This window comes from Homo sapiens, chromosome 7 (genome assembly GCF_000001405.40).
Source record: "Homo sapiens chromosome 7, GRCh38.p14 Primary Assembly".
Classification (NCBI taxonomy): Eukaryota; Metazoa; Chordata; class Mammalia; order Primates; family Hominidae; genus Homo; species Homo sapiens.
The window spans coordinates 100,726,521-100,747,400 of NC_000007.14; the positions used below are offsets into that span (position 1 = coordinate 100,726,521).

Here is a 20,880-nt window from a genome sequence, read left to right on the forward strand (position 1 = left end):
ATCCCCTCCCCCACAAAAAGAGTAGTTATCAAACCTGAACTGTCTGACCACTCCTGGGATGGATGTGAGAGGCAAGTACGTTAGAAACATTTAAAACATTTATTCCAAGTTTATAGAATGGCTACTGTGAACCAAGCCTTTGCACTAAGTGCTAGGAGACATGAAATGACACTCATAGCCCAGTGGCCAGTGGGCAGCCTCCTGGGGGCAAAAAAAGGCACACATTAATTCATTTTATTTTATTTATTTATTTTTTGAGACAGGGTCTTGTTGTGTCACCCAGGCTGGAGGGCAGTGGCACAATCTCAGCTCACTGCAACCTCCACCTCCTGGGTTCAAGCAATTCTTGTGCCTCAGCCTCCCGAGTAGCTGGGATTACAGGCACATGCCACCACACCCGGCTAGTTTGTGTGTGTGTGTTTGTGTTTTTTTGTTTGTTTGTTTTTGTTTTGTTTTTTGGTAGAGATGGGGTTTCTCCATGTTGGCCAGCCTGGTCTCGAACTCCTGATCTCAGGTGATCCACTCATCAGTCTCCCAAAATGCTGGGATTACATGCATGAGCCACTGCACCTGGCCTTGACGCACATTAATTCAGACGTAGTCATTTTGGTATGGGACTGAGTGCTAAGCTGTGCAATGCCAAGAGGCCGGGGAAGGGAAGAACCACAGGATTTAGAAGAACTAAGCGAGGCCCAGAGTCTGTGCTGAGAGGCAGATTCCCAAGGAGGGTGTTGCCAGATTTCAGAGGTTCTTCGAGTGCAGGCCAGGAAAGGAACTTTCCTCTGAACTGTGATCATGGTTATAATTAACAACACATTCAATCTGTGGCATCTGCATGCTGCGATTCTCACCCGAACTCCACGAAGCAGGAATACAATGAGTATCATCCCCATTTGTCAGATGGGGAACTAAGTTCTGCTGGAAAGTGACAGAGCCAACACTTTTGACTTTCTGGTGGGGACAGGAGCCAGCAAAGCCTAGTTCTGAGTCAAGGGGTTACATAATTGTTTAAAGATGATGCCTTCTGTTTGTAGAGAGCTTGGCTATTTACATGAAAAGCATGTGATTTCCTGGCATGCTTTTCATTTGCTCTCCTAACGCCAAGAGGAAGGCAGGGATGATGGAGGGTCCCCATTTTGCAGAGGAGGAAACTGAGGCCCAAAGAGATTATGGGCCTTGCCCAGGTCATAAAACACGGAGATGGGGCTGGACGAAGTGGCTCATACTAGTAATCCCAGCACTTTGGGAGACTGAGGCAGGAGGAGGGCTTGAGCACAAGAGTTCCAGACTGGCCCCAGAAACATAGGGAGACCCTGTCTCTAAAAAAAATTTTAAAGCAGTGGGGCATGATGGTGTGCACCTGTAGGCCCAGCAGAAGCAGGAGGGATCACTTGAACCCAGGGATTTGAGACTGCATTGAGCTATGATTGCAGCGCTGCACTCCAGCCAGGGTGACAGAGCAAGACCCTGGCTCAAAAGAGAGAAAAAAAAAAAGTCCGGGTGTGGTAGCTCAAGTCTGTAATCCCTGCACTTTGGGAGGCCAAGGTGGGTGGATCACTTGAGGTCAGGAATTTGAGACCAGCCTGGCCAACATGGTGAAACCCCATCTCTACTAAAATTACAAACATTAGCCAGGTGTGGTGGTGCATGCCTGTAATCCCAGCTACTTGGGAGGCAGAGGCACGAGGATTGCTTGAACCTGGGAGGCAGAGGTTGCAGTGAGCTGAGAGATCGAGTCACTGCACTCCATCTTGAGCAACAAGAGCGAGACTCCGTCTCAAAAAGAAAAAAAAAAGAGAGAGAGAGAGAGTCCCTTTTCTCTCTGACCCAGGATCACCAGGGAGAGGAAAGAGAAGAGATGGAGTGAATGAGACAGCTGTGGTCAGCAAGGCGTGTCCATCTTCCACGACCGACTCCTTCCCATTCAATCCCCTGCCTTGGGATCCTGCTTCTTCCCTGCATAGGCAGAAAGTACCTACCAACTTCCCTTCTTCCCAACTCCCTGCTCTGAGTACTGCGCTAGGAGCCAACTCAGCCACCTCCTGCAGCCCCAGCTCTCCATCTTAACTGCAGCCTCTCGCTCTTGGGTACTCACTGACTCAAATCCTCCCTCTGGGCCCAAGCATCAGGCTGAACAAAGACCTGTCCCTAGTTCACAGGTCACCTAGGATTCTTTTTTTTTTTCTTTGAGATGGGGTTTCGCTCTTGTTGCCCAGGCTGGAGTGCAATGGCGCGATCTCAGCTCACTGCAAACTTTGCCTCCCGGGTTCAAATGATTCTCCTGCCTCAGCCTCCTGAGTAGCTGGGATTACAGGCATGTGCCACCACACCTGGTTAATTTTGTATTTTTAGTACAGACAGGGTTTCTCCGTGTTGGTCAGGCTGGTCTCGAACCCCGACCTCAGGTGATCCACCTGCCTCAACCTCCCAAAGTGCTGGGATTACAGGCGTGAGCCACTGTGCCTGGCCAGTCACCTAGGGTTCTGCTGGAACTACTGAACTGTAGTTCAGTAGGTGATCTTACCACAGTAGGGTTTGTTGCTGGAGTTGCATTAGCTAAACAGGGTCTTTTAGACACTGGAATCTAAGCTGAAGGCTAATAATATTATTTGAAGATGGTGAAAGTTAATTCTACTAAAATTCCATCATAAAACTGTGGCATTGTGAAGGATTGTTGGCAACAAATAAATAGACGATAGTATAGTTTCTCAATTTATGGGAGTCATGGCCAAATGTCTCTAAACTCCCTTCTTTATTTAAGAAAATTGATTATTAAAAATGGCCAGTGGTTCACGCCTGTAATCCCAACACTTTGGGGGGCCAAGGTGGGCGGATCACCTGAGGTCAGGAGTTCGAGACCAGCCTGACCAACATGGTGAAATCCCGTCTCTACTAAAAATAAAAAATTAGCTGGGTGTGGTGGTGCATGCCTGTAATCCCAGCTAGTTGGAAGGTTGAGGCAGGAGAATTGCTTGAACCTGGGAGGCGGAGGTTGCAGTGAGCCAAGATCGTACCATTGCACTCCAGCCTGGGCAACAAGGGCAAAACAAGATAAAAAAAAAATTACGTGACCGGGCGCGGTGATGTACACTTGTAATACCAGCACTGTGGGAGGCCAAGGTGAGAGGATCACTTGAGGCTGGTAGTTTGAGACCAGCCTAGTCAACATAGTGAGATCCCTGTTTCTATAAAAAATTTGCTGGGCTACTAAAAAATAGACTGTAGTTCCAACTACTTGGGAGGCTGAGGTTGTAGTGAGCTATGATTGAGCCACTGAACTCTAACCTGGGTGATAGAGCAAGACACTGTCTCAAAAAAAAAAGTGACTGCCACACATAAATTTCTTTCTTTTATTATTATTATTATTATTATTTTTTGAGACAGAGTCTCACTCTGTCACCCAGGCTGGAGTGCAGTGGTGCGATCTCGGCTCACTGCAACCTACCCCTCCTGGGTTCAAGAGATTCTCCTGCCTCAGCCTCCTGAGTAGCTGGGACTACAGGTGCGCACCACCATGCCCAGCTAATTTTGTATTTTTAGTACATACGGGGTTTCACCATGTTGGCCAGGCTGATCTTGAACTCCTGGCCTCAGGTGATCTGCCCACCTTGGCCTCCCAAAGTGTTGGGATTATAGGTGTGAGCCACTGCACCCAGCCAACATCATAGATTTCTGGCTTTAAAAAAATCTTGGCTGTACTGATTGAGCCTCCTCCCCAATCTTACAGAGGAAGGAACTAAGACACAGAGAGGGTGAGAAAAGTTCCCAAAGACACACAGCAAATTTAGGACTGGGCTCCAGTTCTCTCAAGGGCTTTTCCACAGCCCAAGGTCTCTCACACCTGTTCCCACAGCTGCCAGTCTTGTCAAGGTTGCCAGTCTCTGGGGCGTTGCTGGTTCCTGGCTCCCTAAAATACAGGGCCCAAGGGTCCTCCCCCACTTTCCTGTCCTGCCGTGAGCCCCCCACCCCCACTTCCAGACGGATTGGGAGCTGTGACCCCCAGCTCTGTGGTCCCAAAGGGAGGTCAGCTAAAGCAGCTACCAGGGGACTTATTGCCCAACAGGGAGTGGCTATGATCAATGTCTTCTGCTCCTCTTCCCTGGGTTAACCATTTCCTGGCCCTGGCCCCTCTGTTAATTCCTCTGCTAACCTGGTATGGAGGAAGGGTGGACAAGGGCTTGGGATGGACACCATTGATATCCCCAGGTCTGACATAAACAGGCAGGGGGGTGCTCTCAGTCCTCAGATGTGATCCCTGCCTGAGCTCTGTTGGCATTCCATGGCGAGGCTCTTCAGCCTCATTTGGGCAGAAGCGGTCCTGGGGATTGCAAAAGGGCTTTCTTTTTCTTTTATTTATTTCTTTTTAGAAACAGAGTCTCCTTGTGTTGCCCAGGCTGGAGTGCAATGGTACAATCATAGCTCACTGCAGCCTTGAACTCCTGGGCTCAGGCGACCCTCCCGCCTCAGCCTTCTTTGTAACTGGAACTACAGGTGTGCACCACCATGCTTAGATAATTTTTGTATTTTTTGTGTAGAGGGTGGGTTCTCGCTATGTTGCCCAAGCTGGTCTCGAACTCCTGGGCTCAAGCAATCCTCCTACCTTGGCCTCCCAAAGTTCTGGGATTACAGGCACAAGCCACCGCGCCCGGCCATTTCTTTTCTTTTCTTTTCTTTTCTTTTCTTTTCTTTTCTTTTCTTTTCTTTTTGAGACAGATTTTTGCTCTTGTTGCCCAGGCTGGAGTGCAATGGCGCGATCTTGGCTCACTGCAACCTCTGCCTCCCAGGTTCAAGCAATTCTCCTGCCTCAGCCTCCCGAGTAGCTGGGAGTACAGGCATGCACCACCATGCCCAACTAATTTTTTGTATTTAGTAGAGATGGAGTTTCACCATGTTAGTTAGGCTAGTCTTGAACTCCTGACCTCAAGTGATCTGTCAACCTCGGCTTCCCAAAGTGCTGGGATTACAGGCATGAGCCACCGTGCCCGGCCTCCGGCCATTTCTTAATATGATCCAATTACATACCTACTGATAAATATTTATCATAACTTTTCCTATTGTAAACAATGTTGCAATTAATATCTTTGGGTATCCGCAAATTTGTGCAAAGTGCATGTATTTCTGTAGCAAGTTTCCTAGAAATGTTAGGTCAAAGATATGCACATTTGAAAGTTCAACAGTCATTGTCAAATGCCTTCTAAGAAGTTTTCTGGCCAGGCACTGTGGCTCACACCTGTAATCCCAACACTATGGGAGGCCAAGGTGGGTGGATCACCTGAGGTCAGAAGTTCGAGACCAGCCTGACCAACATGATGGAACCCCATCTCCACTAAAAATACAAAATTAGCCGGGTGTGATGGCACATGCCTGTTAATCCCAGCTACTTGGGAGGCTGAGGCAAGAGAATTGCTTGAACTCGGGAGGTGGAGGTTTGCAGTGAGCTGAGATTGTGCCATTGCTCTCTAGGCTGGGTTGACTCCTCCCCCAAAACAAACAAACAAACCAAAAAACAAATGCCTTCTAAGAAGTTTTCACCGGCTGGGCACAGTGGCTCATGTTTGTAATCTCAGCACTTTGGGAGGCTGAGGCAAGCGGATCACTGGAGCCCAGGAGTTTGAGACCAGCCTGGGCAACATAGTGAGACCCTATCTCTACAATACAAGCAAGCAAAAAAAACAAACAGAAATTAGCTAGGCATGGTGGCTTGTGCCTGTAATCCCAGACACCCCGGGAGGCTGAGGTGGGAGAACTGCTTGAGCCTGGGAGGTTGAGACTGCAGTAAGCTGTGACGGCACCACTGCACTCCAGCCTGGGCAACAGAGTGAGACGCTGTCTCAAAAAAAAAAAAAAAGTTTTCACCAACATTCTTTTTTTGTTTTGTTTTGAGACAGGGTCTCGCTCTGTTGCTCTGGCTGGAGTACAGTGGCTTGATCATAGCTCACTGCAGCCTTGAACGCGTAAGTCCTCCCGCCTCAACCTCACAACCAGCTGGGACCTACAGGCACATACTGCCATGCTTGGTTAATTTTTAAATTTTTTGTAGAGACAGGGTCTCACTGTTTTGCCCAGGCTGGTCTCTAGCCTCAAGCGGTCCTACCATCTCGGCCTCCAAAAAGCACTTGGGATTACCAGCATGAGCCACTGCACCTGGCCACCAACCTACAGTCTTATCATCACTGAGTTCGTATCTACCTGCATCCTGTCCAATACTCCGTACTACCAATCTTTCAAATTTTTGTCGGCTGGGCACAGTGGCTCATGCCTGTAATTCCAGCACTTTGGAAGGCCAAGGCAGGCAGACTGCTTGAGCCCAGGAGTTTAAGACCAGCCCGGGAGACATGGCAAAACCCCATTTCTGCAAAATATACAAAAATTAGCTGGGCTTGGTGGCATGCACTGGTAGTCCCAGCTACTCCAGAGGCTAAGATGGGAAGATCACCTGACCCCGGGGGTTTGAGGCTGTAATGAGCCAAGTCATGCTGCTGCGCTCCAGCCTGGGTGACAGAACGAGGCCCTGTCTCAAAAAAAAGAAAAAAAAATTTTTTTTTGGTCAATATAAGAGTCATAGTTTTGATTAGCATTTCCCTTATTACTAGTGAAGCAGAACAGCTTTTCAAATGTTTGCTGCCTGTTTGTATCTCTTCCTCTGTGACTTATCTTTCTCCGTGATTTGCCAGTAGGCATTTGCAGTCCTTTTTTTCTTTTTTTTTTGACTTGGAGTCTCGCGATCTCGGCTCACTACAACCTCCGCCTACCAAGTTCAAGTGATTCTTGCGCCTCAGCCTCCTGAGTAGCTGGGATTATGAGCATGTGCCACCACCCCTAGCTAATTTTTTGTATTTTTAGTAGAGATGGGGTTTTGCCATGTTGGCCAGGCTGGTCTCGAACTCCTGACCTCAAGTGATCCACCCGCCTTGGCCTCCCAAATGCTGGGATTACAGGTGTGAGCCACCACGTCCAGCCGTTTGCAGTCCTTCCTTCACCTAACTCTCCAGTTGCCACTGTTGCCAGTTATAGAATTTTAGGTTTGAAATGGTTTTCTGTTGGAATTCTGCAGACAATGTTCCACTGGCTCTTAGACTCCATGGTTGCTATTGAAAAGCTGGATGCCATGTTGATTTCTGATCCTTGGTATATGACTTGTTATTTTCTATCTGAAAGTGTTTCAGATCTTCTCTTCACCCCTGATAGTCTGAAGTCCAGTGCTTCCATGGGTCTCTATGCTTTCATCACCCTGGACACCTTTTTAATCTAGAGACTTGTATATTTCAGTTCTGGATATTTTCTTGTGCGTTTTTCTTTTTAAAATAATAATTTCTTTTCCTTTGTTCTCTCTTTTTGAACTCCTTTCGTTTGAGGTTAGACTTCCTGGATTGATCCTCCAAACCTGTTTCCTTTTTGTTTCTTTCTCTTTTTTTTTCTCTTCTCTCTAGTTTATTTCCCTCGATTTCAATCTACGATGCTTCTACTGGATGGTAACTTTCAACTCTCATAATTTTAATTTCCCAGAGCTTTTCTGTGTTTCTCTGTTCATTCTTCATGGCATCCTTGGAAGGATGCCAAGCTAAGGAGGCCAGGGGGGAATAAAAGGAGTCCAGGCTCCCAACTGTGCCCTTCCCCTCTCCCCTGGGAGCAACCACTTAGGGTCCTCATGGTTCCTCCAGTCTGGACTCTGCTGCTTCTGGTGGGGGCTGCCCTTTTCAGGTAAGCTGGGCCCAGGGGGTAATGATAAACCAGGGTCAGCTGAGGGTGGCTGTAAGGAATATGGAAGGACAGAGCTGGAGGGGGCGAGCAGGCTAACTACAAAAGATCTGGAGAGAGGCCAGGCACGGTGGCTCACGCCTGTAATCCCAGCACTTTGGGAGGCTGAGGTGGGCAGATCACGAGGTCAGGAGATCGAGACCATCCTGGCCAACATGGTGAAACCTCGTCTCTACTAAAAATACAAAAAATTAGCCAGGCGTGGTGGTGTGCACCTGTAGTCCCAGCTACCCAGGAGGCTGAGGCAGGAGAATCGCTTGAACCTGGGAGGCGGAGTTTGCAGTGAGCTGAGATCATGCCATTGCACTCCAGCCTGGATGACAGAGCGAGACTCCGTCTCAAAAAAAAAAAAACAAAAAAAAAGACCTTGAGAGGAAGGGGGAAACCCGGTGGGATGGAAATGGGTTGACCTTGACTGCTGAACAGGAATTAAGGGGCGGGTTCTGGGAGCGGGACAGGGCTACAATGTGAGAAGGGACGGAGGAGGTGCAGAGCTGGAAGACAGATCTAAGCCTAGGAGAGAAGGATTGAGGGGTCAGGCCCTCAGGAAACGGACAAGACCCAGGGTGGACCCAGCTGATGAGAGAGACTTAAGTACGAGGCAGCAAAGAAATGACGGATGACAGGCCAAGCGCGGCGGCTCACCCCTGTAATCCCAGCACTTTGGGAGGCCGAGGCGGGCGGATCACCTGAGGTCAGGTGTTGAGACCAGCCTGACCAACATGGTGAAACCCTGTCTCTACTAAAAATATAAAATTAGCCAGGCATGGTGGTGCATGCCTGTAATCCCAGCTACTTGGGAGGCTGAGGCAGGAGAGTCACTTGAACCCGGGAGGCGGAGACTGCAGTGAGCGGAAATTGCACCATTGCACTCCAGCCTGGGCAACAAGAGCAAAACTCCATCTCAAAAGAAAAAAAAAAAGAAATGATGGATGTCTTGGTGTCCTGCAGTGTGTTTGGGAGAATTTGAACAAGTAGAACTTCAACAACAACAAAAAACAGAGGGCTGAGCACAGTGGCTCCCACCGGTAATCCCAGCACTTTGGGAGGCCAAAGTGGGAGGATTGCATAAGGCCAGGAGGTCATGACCAGCCTGTGCAACATAGAAAGACCCCATCTCTATAAAAAATAAAAATAAATTAGCTGGGCGTGGTGGCATGCTCCTGTAGTCCCAGCTACTGGGGAGGTTGAGGTGGGAGGATTGCTGGAGCCCAGAGGTTTGAGGCTGCAGTGAGCTGTGATTGTATCACTGCACTCTAGCCTGGGTGCCGGAAAAAAAAAAAAAGAAAAGAAAAAAAGAAAAAAAGTCAAGTCAGACACATTCACTGCATAAACACTGATCATCCTTACGTGACCACTCAGAAAGCTCACAGTCACTGAATCTTATAATTCTTGATAATGACACGAGTTGCATTTTTGCTTTCTTCAAACGACCCCCAAGGAAAGAGAAGCCTCCGGACCAGAAGCTGGTTGTTCGCAGCTCTAGGGACAACTGTGAGTTGGAAACCAGGAGTGCTAAGATTTCTCCTCCCTCCTCCGAACCCACATTCTGCCACCAGAATGCCAGTTCCTGAGTTCCTAGCAGGAGCAGCCACCTCCAGTCCCCTCCGGGCATCAGCCAGGACTACAAAATGTGTCCTGCCAGGCCAAGTCCAGCCCTCCAACCTCAGTTCATGACCCCGGACCTTGTCATTCTGTCCACTCTCCCAGCCCCGAATTTCTCCTAAAAGATTCTCTCTTTCAAATCTCTGCTCTGGGCCGGGTGCTGTGGCTCACACCTGTCATCCCAACACTTAGGGAGGCCAAGGTGGGAGGATGGCTTGAGGCCAGGAGTTTGAGAGCAGCCTGGGCAACATAGTAAGACTCCATCTCCACAAAAAACAGACGAGCAATTTCTGCTCTGGACCCCAAGGCTTTGCAACAGCTTTCTTTTTCTTTTCTTTGAGACGGAGTCTCCCTCTGTCCCTCAGGCTGGAGTGCAGTGGCGCGATCTTGGCTCACTGCAAAGTCCGCCTCCTGGGTTCAAGCGATTCTCTTGCCTCAGCCTCCCCAGTAGCTGGGACTACAGGTGTGCGCCACCACACCCGGCTGATTTCATGGCAGCTTTCTCTAAGTGTAGCAATCTTGCTACTTCCCTCTCCCTGTGTGGCTCTGGGCCCTGCCCCTGCCCTCTCTGAAACCTCACTGTGACCCATTCTTCCTAGATGTCCTCACCCAGTGTGATTTTGAGGATGACGCCAAACCCCTCTGTGACTGGTCCCAAGTGTCCGCAGACGATGAAGACTGGGTTCGAGCCAGTGGGCCCTCTCCCACCGGCTCCACCGGGGCCCCCGGGGGGTACCCTAACGGAGGTGAGGGGCTATGGTTTCCAGGGGACCATGAGCAGGGAGGTGGCTGGGAGGCGGGAGTGGCTAGATGGAGAGAGAAGGGAGGCAGCCAGACCTGGATGCCTGGGCTCTGAGAAGGGGATGGGTGGGGGCAGCCCTCAGAGGTGGCTGGGCCTCAGTGTCTTGGGCTCTGCCTCCCCCAGAGGGCAGCTATCTGCATATGGAATCGAACAGCTTCCACCGTGGGGGAGTGGCCCGCCTGCTCAGCCCCGACCTATGGGAGCAAGGCCCCCTCTGTGTGCACTTTGCCCACCACATGTTCGGGCTGTCTTGGGGCGCCCAGCTCAGGCTGCTGCTGCTCTCGGGTGAAGAGGGCCGCCGCCCCGATGTGCTCTGGAAACACTGGAACACCCAGAGACCCTCCTGGATGCTCACCACCGTCACTGTGCCCGCAGGGTTCACCCTGCCCACCCGGGTAAGGCCGGGGACAAATTGTGGGACCTCGGGGGGGAGTCTGGGTGTTGGAGAGCCTGAGGGTGGGGGTGTGGCAAAAAGGGATTGTGGGGGCCAAGCCATCTGAATTCAGGAAGAAAACTAGGAGCCAGGAGGCCTGGCTGAGGGGCTCATGGGGTTGGGGTCCCCTTATCCTCTTGCAGCTGATGTTTGAGGGAACACGGGGTAGCACTGCCTACCTGGACATCGCCCTGGATGCCCTCTCTATCCGCCGGGGCTCCTGTAATCGCGGTGAGTCCCTGTCCCTCCTCCCGCCTGCCCTCGGACCCTTTTCTCTCCGTCCTTGCACAACAAGAAGAGGATCCAGGGCGGGCGCGGTGGCTCATGCCTGTAATCCCAGCACTTTGGGAGGCCGAGGCGGGCGGATCACGAGGTCAAGAGATAGAGACCTTTCTGGTTAACACGGTGAAGCCCCGTCTCTACTAAAAATACAAAAAATTAGCCGGGCGCGGTGGCGGGCGCCTGTAGTCCCAGCTACTTGGGAGGCTGAGGCAGGAGAATGGCATGAACCTGGGAGGTGGAGCTTGCAGTGAGCCGAGATCGTGCCACTGCACTCCAGCCTTGGCGATGGAGTGAGACTCCGTCTCAAAAAAAAAAAAAGAAGAATGAGAAAGGAGATGAGGAGCTGGCTGTATTGGGTCTGCCAGGTAGAGCTATTAGGGCTTTGACTCTGGAAGCAGCCGTGCCTAAAGAGAGGTCTCGGCCCAGCACAGTGGCTCAGGCCTGTAATCCCAGCACCTTGGGAGGCCAAGGTGGGAGGATGGTGTGAGGCCAGGAGTTTGAGATCAGCCTGGGCAACATAAGGAGACCCCCATCTCTACAAAAGAATTTATTTATTTATTTATTTATTTATTTGAGACGGAATTTCACTCTTGTCACCCAGGCTGGAGTGTAGTGGCACGATCTCGGCTCACTGCAACTTCTGCCTCTTGGGTTCAAATGATTCTCCTGCCTCAGTCTCCCAAGTAGCTGGGATTACAGGTGCCCACCACCATGCCTGGCTAATTTTTGTATGTTTAGTAGAGCCGGGGTTTCATTGTGTTGGCAAGGCTGTTCTAGAACTCCTGACCTCAGGTGATCCACTCACCTCAGCCTCCCAAAATGCTGGGATTACAGGAGTTAAGTCACCGTGCCAAGAACTTTTTAAAAATTAGCTCGGCATGGTGGCGCACACCTGTAGTCCTAGCTACTTGAGAGGTTGAGGTGGGAGGACCGCTTGAGTCCAGGAGTTCGAGGCCGCAGTGAGCTATGATCACACCACTGTACTCTAGCCTGGGTGACAGAGACCCTGTCTCTAAAAAAGAAGAAAACATTATATCTTCCCTTCTTTCTTTCCTCTCAGTCTGTATGATGCAAACATGCAGCTTTGACATTCCAAATGACCTCTGTGACTGGACCTGGATCCCAACTGCCTCCGGGGCCAAGTGGACTCAGAAGAAAGGGTCATCAGGAAAGCCAGGCGTGGGGCCTGATGGCGACTTCTCTAGCCCTGGTAGTGAGTAGCGGCCATGCTTCTGTCCCTTGACTTTCTGGGCACCAAGCACCCTACGATAATTGCCCTGGGACGGTCTGTCATGAACACCTACAGCTTCAAGCCTCTTACCAGCTCAAGTTTCACGCAAGAAGCTGATTTCAAGCACCCAGCCAGCCTCCCCCACCACCGCCCTACAAGCTCTACCTGGCAGACCCAATACAGCCAGCTCCTCATCTCCTTTCTGTGGCTCTTCTTCTTCTTCTTTCTCTTCCTCTTCTTCTTCTCCCTCTCCCTCTCCCTCTCCCTCTCCCTCTCCCTCTCCCTCTCCCTCTCCCTCTCCCTCTCCCTCTCCCTCTCCCTCTCCCTCTCCCTCTCCCTCTCCCTCTCCCTCTCCCTCTCCTTCTCCTTCTCCTTCTTCTTTTTCTTTTTTTTTTTTTGAAGCAGAGTCTCGTTCTGTCACCCAGTCTGGAGTGCAGTGGCGTGATCTCTGCTCACTGCAACCTCTGCCTCCTGGGTTTAAGCAATTCTCCTGCCTCAACCTCCCAAGTAGCTGAGACTGCAGGCGTGCACCACCATGCCCGGCTAATTTTTGTATTTTTGGTACAGACAGGGTTTCACCATGTTGGCCAGGCTGGTCTCGAACTCCGGACCTCAAGTGGTCCACCTGCCTCAGCCTCCCAAATGCTGGGATTACAGCGTGAGCCATTGCTTCTGGCCCCTTTCATTCTTCATTCATTCAAGAAATACTGAGCACCTACAATATGCCAGGTGCTGTCCTAGGCACTTAAAATACACCAGTGCAGAAAACAGACAAGGAAGAGTAGGGTGTGGTAGCGGGGGGGCAGTTACCGACACAAAGTAAATATAGTTATAAAGTGAGCGATGCTACTGGGAAAATAAAAAGTCAAACAAGTTTGGAGCCAAGTGCACTGGCTCACGCCTGTAATCCCAGCGCTTTGGGAAGCTGAGACGGGAGGATCACCTCAAGTGATCTGCCCACTTTGGCCTCCCAAAGTGCTGGGATTACAGGCGTGAGCCACTGTGCCCCGCCGTGAGTTATCAATTATTTATTTATTTATTTTGGAGACAGAGTCTCGCCCTGTCTCCCAGGCTGGAGTGCAGTGGCTCTATCTCGGCTCACTGCAAGCTCCGCTGCCCAGGTTCAATTGATTCTCCTACCTCAGCCTCCTAAGTAACTGGGACTACAGGTGTACACCACCACGCCCAGCTAATTTTTGTGTTTTTAGTAGAGACGGGGTTTCACCACGTTGGCCAGGCTGGTCTTGAACTGCTGACCTCAGGTGATCCGGCCACCTCGGCCTCCCAAAGTGCTGGGATTATAGGCGTTGAGCCACTGTGCCTGGGCGAGTTACCGATTTTAAATAGGCTGGTCAGAGTAGGTCACATTCAGGACACATTTGAGCACGAACTTGAAAAAGGTGAGGTAGTAGCAGAGGACATTCCAGGCTGAGGGGCCAGCTGTGCAAAGGTCCTGAGGTAGCAGTGGGGCTGTCGGGGAAGGAGGGGATCAAGGCACAGCAAAGAGCCATGTGGCCAGCATGAAGAGGGTGACCTGAGATCCACAGGAGCGGCAGATCACATAGAGCCTTGAAGGCCATTGTCAGGACTGTGGCTTTCCTATTCTGTGTGAATGGGGAGCCTTTGCAGGATTTTGAGCAGTGACTTGATCTGACTTATTTATTTTTTTTTTTTTAATTTATTTTTTTATTGATAATTCTTGGGTGTTTCTCACAGAGGGGGATTTGGCAGGGTCATGGGACAATAGTGGAGGGAAGGTCAGCAGATAAACAAGTGAACAAAGGTCTCTGGTTTTCCTAGGCAGAGGACCCTGCGGCCTTCCGCAGTGTTTGTGTCCCTGATTACTTGAGATTAGGGATTGGTGATGACTCTTAACGAGCATGCTGCCTTCAAGCATCTGTTTAACAAAGCACATCTTGCACCGCCCTTAATCCATTTAACCCTGAGTGGACACAGCACATGTTTCAGAGAGCACAGGGTTGGGGGTAAGGTCACAGATCAACAGGATCCCAAGGCAGAGGAATTTTTCTTAGTGCAGAACAAAATGAAAAGTCTCCCATGTCTACTTCTTTCTACACAGACACGGCAACCATCCGATTTCTCAATCTTTTCCCCACCTTTCCCGCCTTTCTATTCCACAAAGCCGCCATTGTCATCCTGGCCCGTTCTCAATGAGCTGTTGGGCACACCTCCCAGACGGGGTGGTGGCCGGGCAGAGGGGCTCCTCACTTCCCAGTAGGGGCGGCCGGGCAGAGGCGCCCCTCACCTCCTGGGCGGGGCGGCTGGCCGGGCGGGGGGCTGACCCCCCCCACCTCCCTCCCGGATGGGGCGGCTGGCCGGTCGGGGGGCTGACCCCCCACCTCCCTCCCGGACGGGGCGGCTGGCCAGGCAGAGGGGCTCCTCACTTCCCAGTAGGGGCGGCCGGGCAGAGGCGCCCCTCACCTCCCGGACGGGGCGGCTGGCCGGGCAGGGGGGCTGACCCCCCCACCTCCCTCCCGGACGGGGCGGCTGGCCGGGCGGGGGGCTGACCCCCCCACCTCCCTCGCGGACGGGGCAGCTGGCCGGGCAGAGGGGCTCCTCACTTCCCAGTAGGGGCGGCCGGGCAGAGGCGCCCCTCACCTCCCGGACGGGGCGGCTGGCCGGGCAGGGGGGCTGACCCCCCCCACCTCCCTCCCGGACGGGGCGGCTGGCCGGGCAGGGGGGCTGACCCCCCCCACCTCCCTCCCGGACGGGGCGGCTGGCCGGGCGGGGGGCTGACCCCCCCACCTCCCTCGCGGACGGGGCGGCTGGCCGGGCAGAGGGGCTCCTCACTTCCCAGTAGGGGTGGCCGGGCAGAGGCGCCCCTCACCTCCCGGATGGGGCGGCTGGCCGGGCAGGGGGGCTGACCCCCCCCACCTCCCTCCCGGACGGGGCGGCTGGCCGGGCGGGGGGCCGACACCCCCACCTCCCTCCCGGACGGGGCGGCTGGCCGGGCGGGGGGCCGACCCCCCCACCTCCCTCCCGGACGGGGCGGCTGGCCGGGCAGAGGGGCTCCTCTCTTCCCAGTAGGGGCGGCCGGGCAGAGGCGCCCCTCACCTCCCAGACGGGGCGGCTGGCCGGGCGGAGGGCTGACCCCCCCACCTCCCTCCCGGACGGGGCGGCTGGCCGGGCAGAGGGGCTCCTCACTTCCCAGTAGGGGCGGCCGGGCAGAGGCGCCCCTCACCTCCCGGACCGGGCGGCTGGCCGGGCGGGGGGCTGACCCCCCCACCTCCCTCCCGGATGGCACGGCTGGCCGGGCGGGGGGCTGACCCCCCACCTCCCTCCCGGATGGGGCGGCTGGCCGGGCGGGGGGCTGACCCCCCCTCACCTCCCTCCCGGACGGGGTGGCTGCCGGGCGGAGATGCTCCTCACTTCCCAGATGGGGTGGCTGCTGGGCGGAGAGGCTCCTCACTTCTCAGACGGGGCAGCTGCCGGGCGGAGGGGCTCCTCACTTCTCAGACGGGGTGGTTGCCAGGCAGAGGGTCTCCTCACTTCTCAGACGGGGCGGCCGGGCAGAGACGCTCCTCACCTCCCAGACGGGGTCTCGGCCGGGCAGAAGCGCTCCTCACATCCCAGATGGGGCGGTGGGGCAGAGGTGCTCCCCACATCTCAGACGATGGGCGGCCGGGCAGAGACGCTCCTCACTTCCTAGATGTGATGGCGGCTGGGAAGAGGCGCTCCTCACTTCCTAGATGGGATGGCGGCCGGGCGGAGACGCTCCTCACTTCCCAGACTGGGCGGCCGGGCAGAGGGGCTCCTCACATCCCAGACGATGGGCGGCCAGGCAGAGACACTCCTCACTTCCCAGACGGGGTGGCGGCCGGGCAGAGGCTGCAATCTCGGCACTTTGGGAGGCCAAGGCAGGCGGCTGGGAGGTGGAGGTTGTAGTGAGCCGAGATCACGCCACTGCACTCCAGCCTGGGCACCATTGAGCACTGAGTGAACGAGACTCCGTCTGCAATCCCGGCACCTCGGGAGGCCGAGGTTGGCGGATCACTCGCGGTTAGGGGCTGGAGACCCGCCCGGCCAACACAGCGAAACCCCGTCTCCACCAAAACCAGTCAGGCGTGGCGGCGCGTGCCTGCAATCGCAGGCACTCGGCAGGCTGAGGCAGGAGAATCAGGCAGGGAGGTTGCAGTGAGCCGAGATGGCAGCAGTACAGTCCAGCTTCGGCTCCGCATGAGAGGGAGACCGTGGGGAGAGGGAGACGGAGACGGAGACGAGGGAGAGGGAGGGGGAGGGGGACGGGGACGATCTGACTTATTTTTTAAGGATTTTTTTTGTGTTGAGAATCCACTGAGGAGAACAGGCAAGGGTCGATGCAGAGAGGCTGTTTAGGAGGCTTTTGCAAAAATCCAGGCGACACTCTTTCTTTTTCTTTCTTTTTTTTTTTTTGAGACAGAATCTTGCTGTTGCCAGGCTGGAGTGCAATGGCACGATCTCAGCTCACTGCAACCTCTGCCTTCCGGGTTCAAGCGATTCTCCTGCCTCAGCCTCCCGAGTAGCTGGGATTACAGGTGTGCGTCACCATGCCCAGTTAATTTTTTGTATTTTTAGTAGAGATGGGGTTTCACCATGTTGGTCAGGGTGGTCTCGATCTTCTGACCTCGTGATCCACCCACTTGGCCTCCCAAAATGCTGGGATTACAAGCGTAAGCCACCATGCCTGGCTGATATTCTTTCTTTCTATGCACCCAAGTCTATCCCTAGCTTCTTTCCACCACCTCCCTGTGCACTCAGCTGAGCTTCTTTCTCTTTCTACTGTTGACTTCTTCCTTTTCTCTCTCACACAACATTCACTTTCTCTCTTAATCTTCTCACACAGCCCACATTTCAACCCCTCACTGAGCCAAGCACTGTAGGTCAAGCATAGAGGGTTCTGCTCCCTAATTTCCTGAGTTTATAATTCTTATTTTTGAATTTAAAAAAATGTTTTTAAAAACTAGGCCAGGTGCAGTAGCTCATGCCTGTAATCCCAGCACTTTGGGAGGCCGAGGTGGGCAGATCACTTGAGGCCACGAGTTCAAGACCAGCCTGGAACATATAGTGAGATCTTGTCTCTACAAAAAATACAAAAATTAGCCCAGTGTGGTGGCACACACCTGTAGTCCCAGATACTCGGGAGGCTGACGTGGGAGGACTGATTGAGCCTGGGAGGTGGAGGTGGCAGTGAGCTGTGATCGCACTACTGCACTCCAGCCTGGGCGACAGAGTGAGATTGTGTCTCAAAATAAATAAATAAATAAAAATAGAGATGGGGTCTTGCTACATTGCCCAGGCTGGTCTCAAACTCTGGGCCTCAAGCCATCTTCCTGCTTCGGCCTCCCAAAGTGCTTGAAGTACAGGTGTGAGCTGCCACGCCCAGCCTATATCTCTTTGTTCTTCTTTTCCCTTAATACTTATCCTTTCTCAATCCATTTCCTCCCTTCCACTTTACCATTTCCACACTTTATTTTATTTTCTTTATTTGTAAAGATGGGGTCTTGCTATGTTGCCCAGGCTGGTCTCGGACTCCTGGCCTCAAGTGATCCTCCTGCCTCTGCCGTATTTTCTTTTCTGTTTTTCCCCATCTTTTCCTCTCTCCACTCCATCAGTGTCCACTTGGACTCCTGCACTCCTGTCTCTGATCTTTCCTGCTGCCTAAACTTTGTTTTCTAGAAGGGCCCTGGCCAGGCGTGGTGGCTCATGCCTGTAATCCCAGCACTTTGGGAGGCGGAGGCAGGTGGATCACCAGAGGTCAGGAGTCCGAGACCAGCCTGGCCAACATAGCGAAACCCGTCTCTACTAAAAATACAAAAAATTAGCTGGGCTTGGTGGTGTGCACCTGTAATCCCAACACTCGGGAGGCTGAGGCAGGAGAATTGTTTGAACCTGGGAGGCGGAGGTTGCAGTGAGCCGAGATAGCGCCACTGCACTCCAGCCTGGGCAACAGAGTGAGACTCCATCTCAATAAAAATAAATAAATAAATACGTACATAAATAAATAAGGCCTTAAGAAGCCCTGGCCCCACCTTCACTGAAAGCCGACCAGCCCTCTCTGCAACCCCTCAGCATTTAGCACCGTGTACCGCGCCCAGCAGCTTCAGTAAATGCTGGTTGGCTTTTTATTTTTCCTTTCTTTCCCTTTCCTTTTCCATCTTGCTCGCTTCCTTATATTTTCTTCACCTTTCACTTCTTTTTCTCCCATTTCTCCTCTTCTGTTTCTCATAGGTCTCCTTGGTTTTTTTTTTGTTGTTGTTGTTTGTTTGTTTTTTGAGACAGTCTCGCTCTGTCGCCCAGGCTGGAGTGCGGTGACGCGATCTCAGCTCACTGCAACCTCCGCCTCCCGGGTTTAAGCGATTCTCCTGCCTCAGCCTCCCGAGTAGCTGGGATTACAGATGCCCGCCACCACGCCCGGCTAATTTTTGTACTTTTAGTAGAGACGGGATTTCGCCATGTTGGCCAAGCTGGTCTAGAACCCCTGACCTCAGGTGATCCGCCCGCCTCGGTCTCCCAAAGTGCTGGGATTACAGGCGTGAGCCACCGCGCCAGCCCGTGTCCTTGATTTCTCTTTCATCATTTTCCCACTTCCTTTCCTTTCCCTTCCCTCTTCCTTCCCGGTTGTTTCCTTTCTTCTCCTTCCTCCCGCCCATTCCCGCCATTCCAGCCTCTTCGCCGCCGCTCAGGATCCCACCTTCGGCAGGAGTGAGCGCGCGCCAGGCAAGACTCCCTTGGACTCGGGCGTGAGCACGCACGCGAGCGCGCTCCCCACGAGTGGCAGCCGCTTACATTTTCTTTTTCGCTACCAGTTGCGTCACCTAGCGAGGTCCACGCTGATTGGCTGTCTGAGCTGGGGGCCGAGGTGGTGTTGGGTGAGAGGGGGTTTGCCTCTTGCTCCTCTGTGTCAGAGCCGCTGTATCTCTCGCCAGTTTGCGTGAATAGGTTATGTCCAGCGGGTAAAGAAAAGGAAGAGGCAATCGGGTGTAGTGGCTCAAGCCTGTAATCCCAGCACTTTGGGAGGCCAAGGCGGGAGGATTGCTTGAGGCCAGGAGTTCAAGACCAGCCTGGGCAACATCGTGAGACCGCCCATCTCTTAAAAAAAAAAAAATTAGCTGGGCGGACTCCAGGTCCGCACCTGGAGTCCCAGCTACTCAGGAGGCTGTGGCAAAAGGATTGCTTGAGCCTAGGAGTTTGAGACCTGTGCCACTGCACTTTAGCCTGGGCAACAGAACCATACCTTGTCTCAAAAAAGAAAAAGGAAAAAAGAAAAGGAACAGGCTATGACTCTAGTGGACCTTAAGAGTTAGCACCCAGGCCAGATGTGATGGCTCATGTCTGTAATCCCAGCACTTTGGGAAGCCAAGGTGCGTGGATCATTTGAACCTAGGAGTTCAAGACCAGCCTGGGCAATGTGGTGAAACCCTATCTTTTCAAAAAAAAATGCAAAAATTAGCAGGGCGTGGTGGCGCACACCTGTAGTCCCAGCTACTTAAGGAGGCTGAGGCGGGAGGATCACCTGAGCCCGGGGAGGTTGAGTCTGCAGTGAACCATGAGAGCCATGATTGCGCCACTGCACTCCAGACTGGGCGACAGAGTGAGACTGTCTCAAAAACAAAAACAAAACAACAACAACAAAGAGTTAGCACCCAAAGGTCAAAGTTCTAGTTGCTGCTTTGGAGAAGGTGTCCGCCGCTTCCCATGGCAGCGCCGGGTCCTTACCCAGCCCAAGCATTTCTAGGAAAAGTTGAAGACCTCAGTCAGTTGGGATAGGACCACCTCAGTGCTGCCTGATTCTAGGCTGCTGTTGGGGATCCCCAGAGACAAGTCCACAGCCTCCTCAGGGCCCTATCTCTGCTGCCATCTTCCCTCAATTCCATCCACCCCAGTTCCCTGGCCTTTTGCTTCACAGGTGGCTGCTACATGCTCCTGGACCCCAAGAATGCAAGACCTGGGCAGAAAGCTGTCCTCCTGAGCCCCGTGAGCCTGTCCTCTGGCTGTCTGAGCTTTTCCTTCCACTACATCCTCCGGGGCCAGTCTCCTGGTGCAGCCCTCCACATTTATGCTTCAGTCTTGGGTTAGAGCGGAGAATTAATGGGATTTACACTGATCTGGGCGCATCTCCCAGGGTTGGCTTGATGGGGAAACATGGGGCATCCCTCAGGGTCTAGGGAGGTCTGGAATATGTGCGAGACTATTCCATGAAGTGGAAATCATGGCTGGGAGGGCACTTTGGGAGGCCGAGGCAGGCGGATCACGAGGTCAGGAGATCGAGACCATCCTGGCTAACATGGTGAAACCCCGTCCATACTAAAAATACAAAAATTAGCTGCCTGTAGTCCCAGCTACACGGGAGGCTGAGGCAGGAGAATCGCTTGAACCCGGGAGGCGGAGGTTGCAGTGAGCCGAGATCGCGCCACTGCACTCCGGCCTGGTGACAGAGCAAGACTCCCTCTCAAATAAAAAAGAAAGTTGTGCTGGCCTGGCACAGTGGCTTATGCTTGTAATCCTAGCACGTTGGGAGGGTGAGGCTGGTGGATCACCTGAGGTCAGGAGTTCGAGACCAGCCTGGCCAACATAGAGAAACCTTGTCTCTACTAAAAATACAAAAATTAGCCAGGTGTGGTGGCACACGCCTGTAATCTCAGCTACTCAAGAGGCTGAGGCAGGAGAATCGCTTGAACCTGGGAGACAGAAGTTGCAGTGAGCCAAGATAGTGCCACTGCACTCCAGCCTGGGCAACAGAGCAATACTCCATCTCAAAAAAAAATAATG

The 20,880-nt window shown here is 53.0% G+C and overlaps 1 protein-coding gene across 5 annotated transcripts in view, besides 1 other annotated feature; it reads left to right on the forward strand.

Annotated features, from left to right (window-relative positions):
• Positions 7,075 to 20,880, forward strand: part of ZAN (zonadhesin) — a 64,203-nt gene continuing 50,397 nt past the window's right edge. For all 5 annotated transcript variants that reach the window (NR_111917.2, NR_111918.2, NR_111919.2 and 2 more), the window contains exons 1-8: positions 7,075 to 7,128; positions 7,507 to 7,701; positions 9,200 to 9,252; positions 9,963 to 10,109; positions 10,289 to 10,560; positions 10,742 to 10,829; positions 11,941 to 12,093; positions 20,018 to 20,182. Coding sequence is in view for 2 of the 5 variants with exons in the window: in NM_173059.3 (NP_775082.2) it covers positions 7,649 to 7,701; positions 9,200 to 9,252; positions 9,963 to 10,109; positions 10,289 to 10,560; positions 10,742 to 10,829; positions 11,941 to 12,093; positions 20,018 to 20,182 (931 nt within the window). In the remaining 3 variants the exon portion in view is untranslated. The remainder of the gene's footprint in view (positions 7,129 to 7,506; positions 7,702 to 9,199; positions 9,253 to 9,962; positions 10,110 to 10,288; positions 10,561 to 10,741; positions 10,830 to 11,940; positions 12,094 to 20,017; positions 20,183 to 20,880) is intronic.
• Positions 18,756 to 18,805: an enhancer, noted in NCBI's record as "active region_26384". NCBI's record gives its function as "activates an Ori minimal core promoter by ATAC-STARR-seq in GM12878 lymphoblastoid cells {active_cell/tissue: GM12878}" and the evidence as "EXISTENCE:reporter gene assay evidence [ECO:0000049][PMID:35858748]".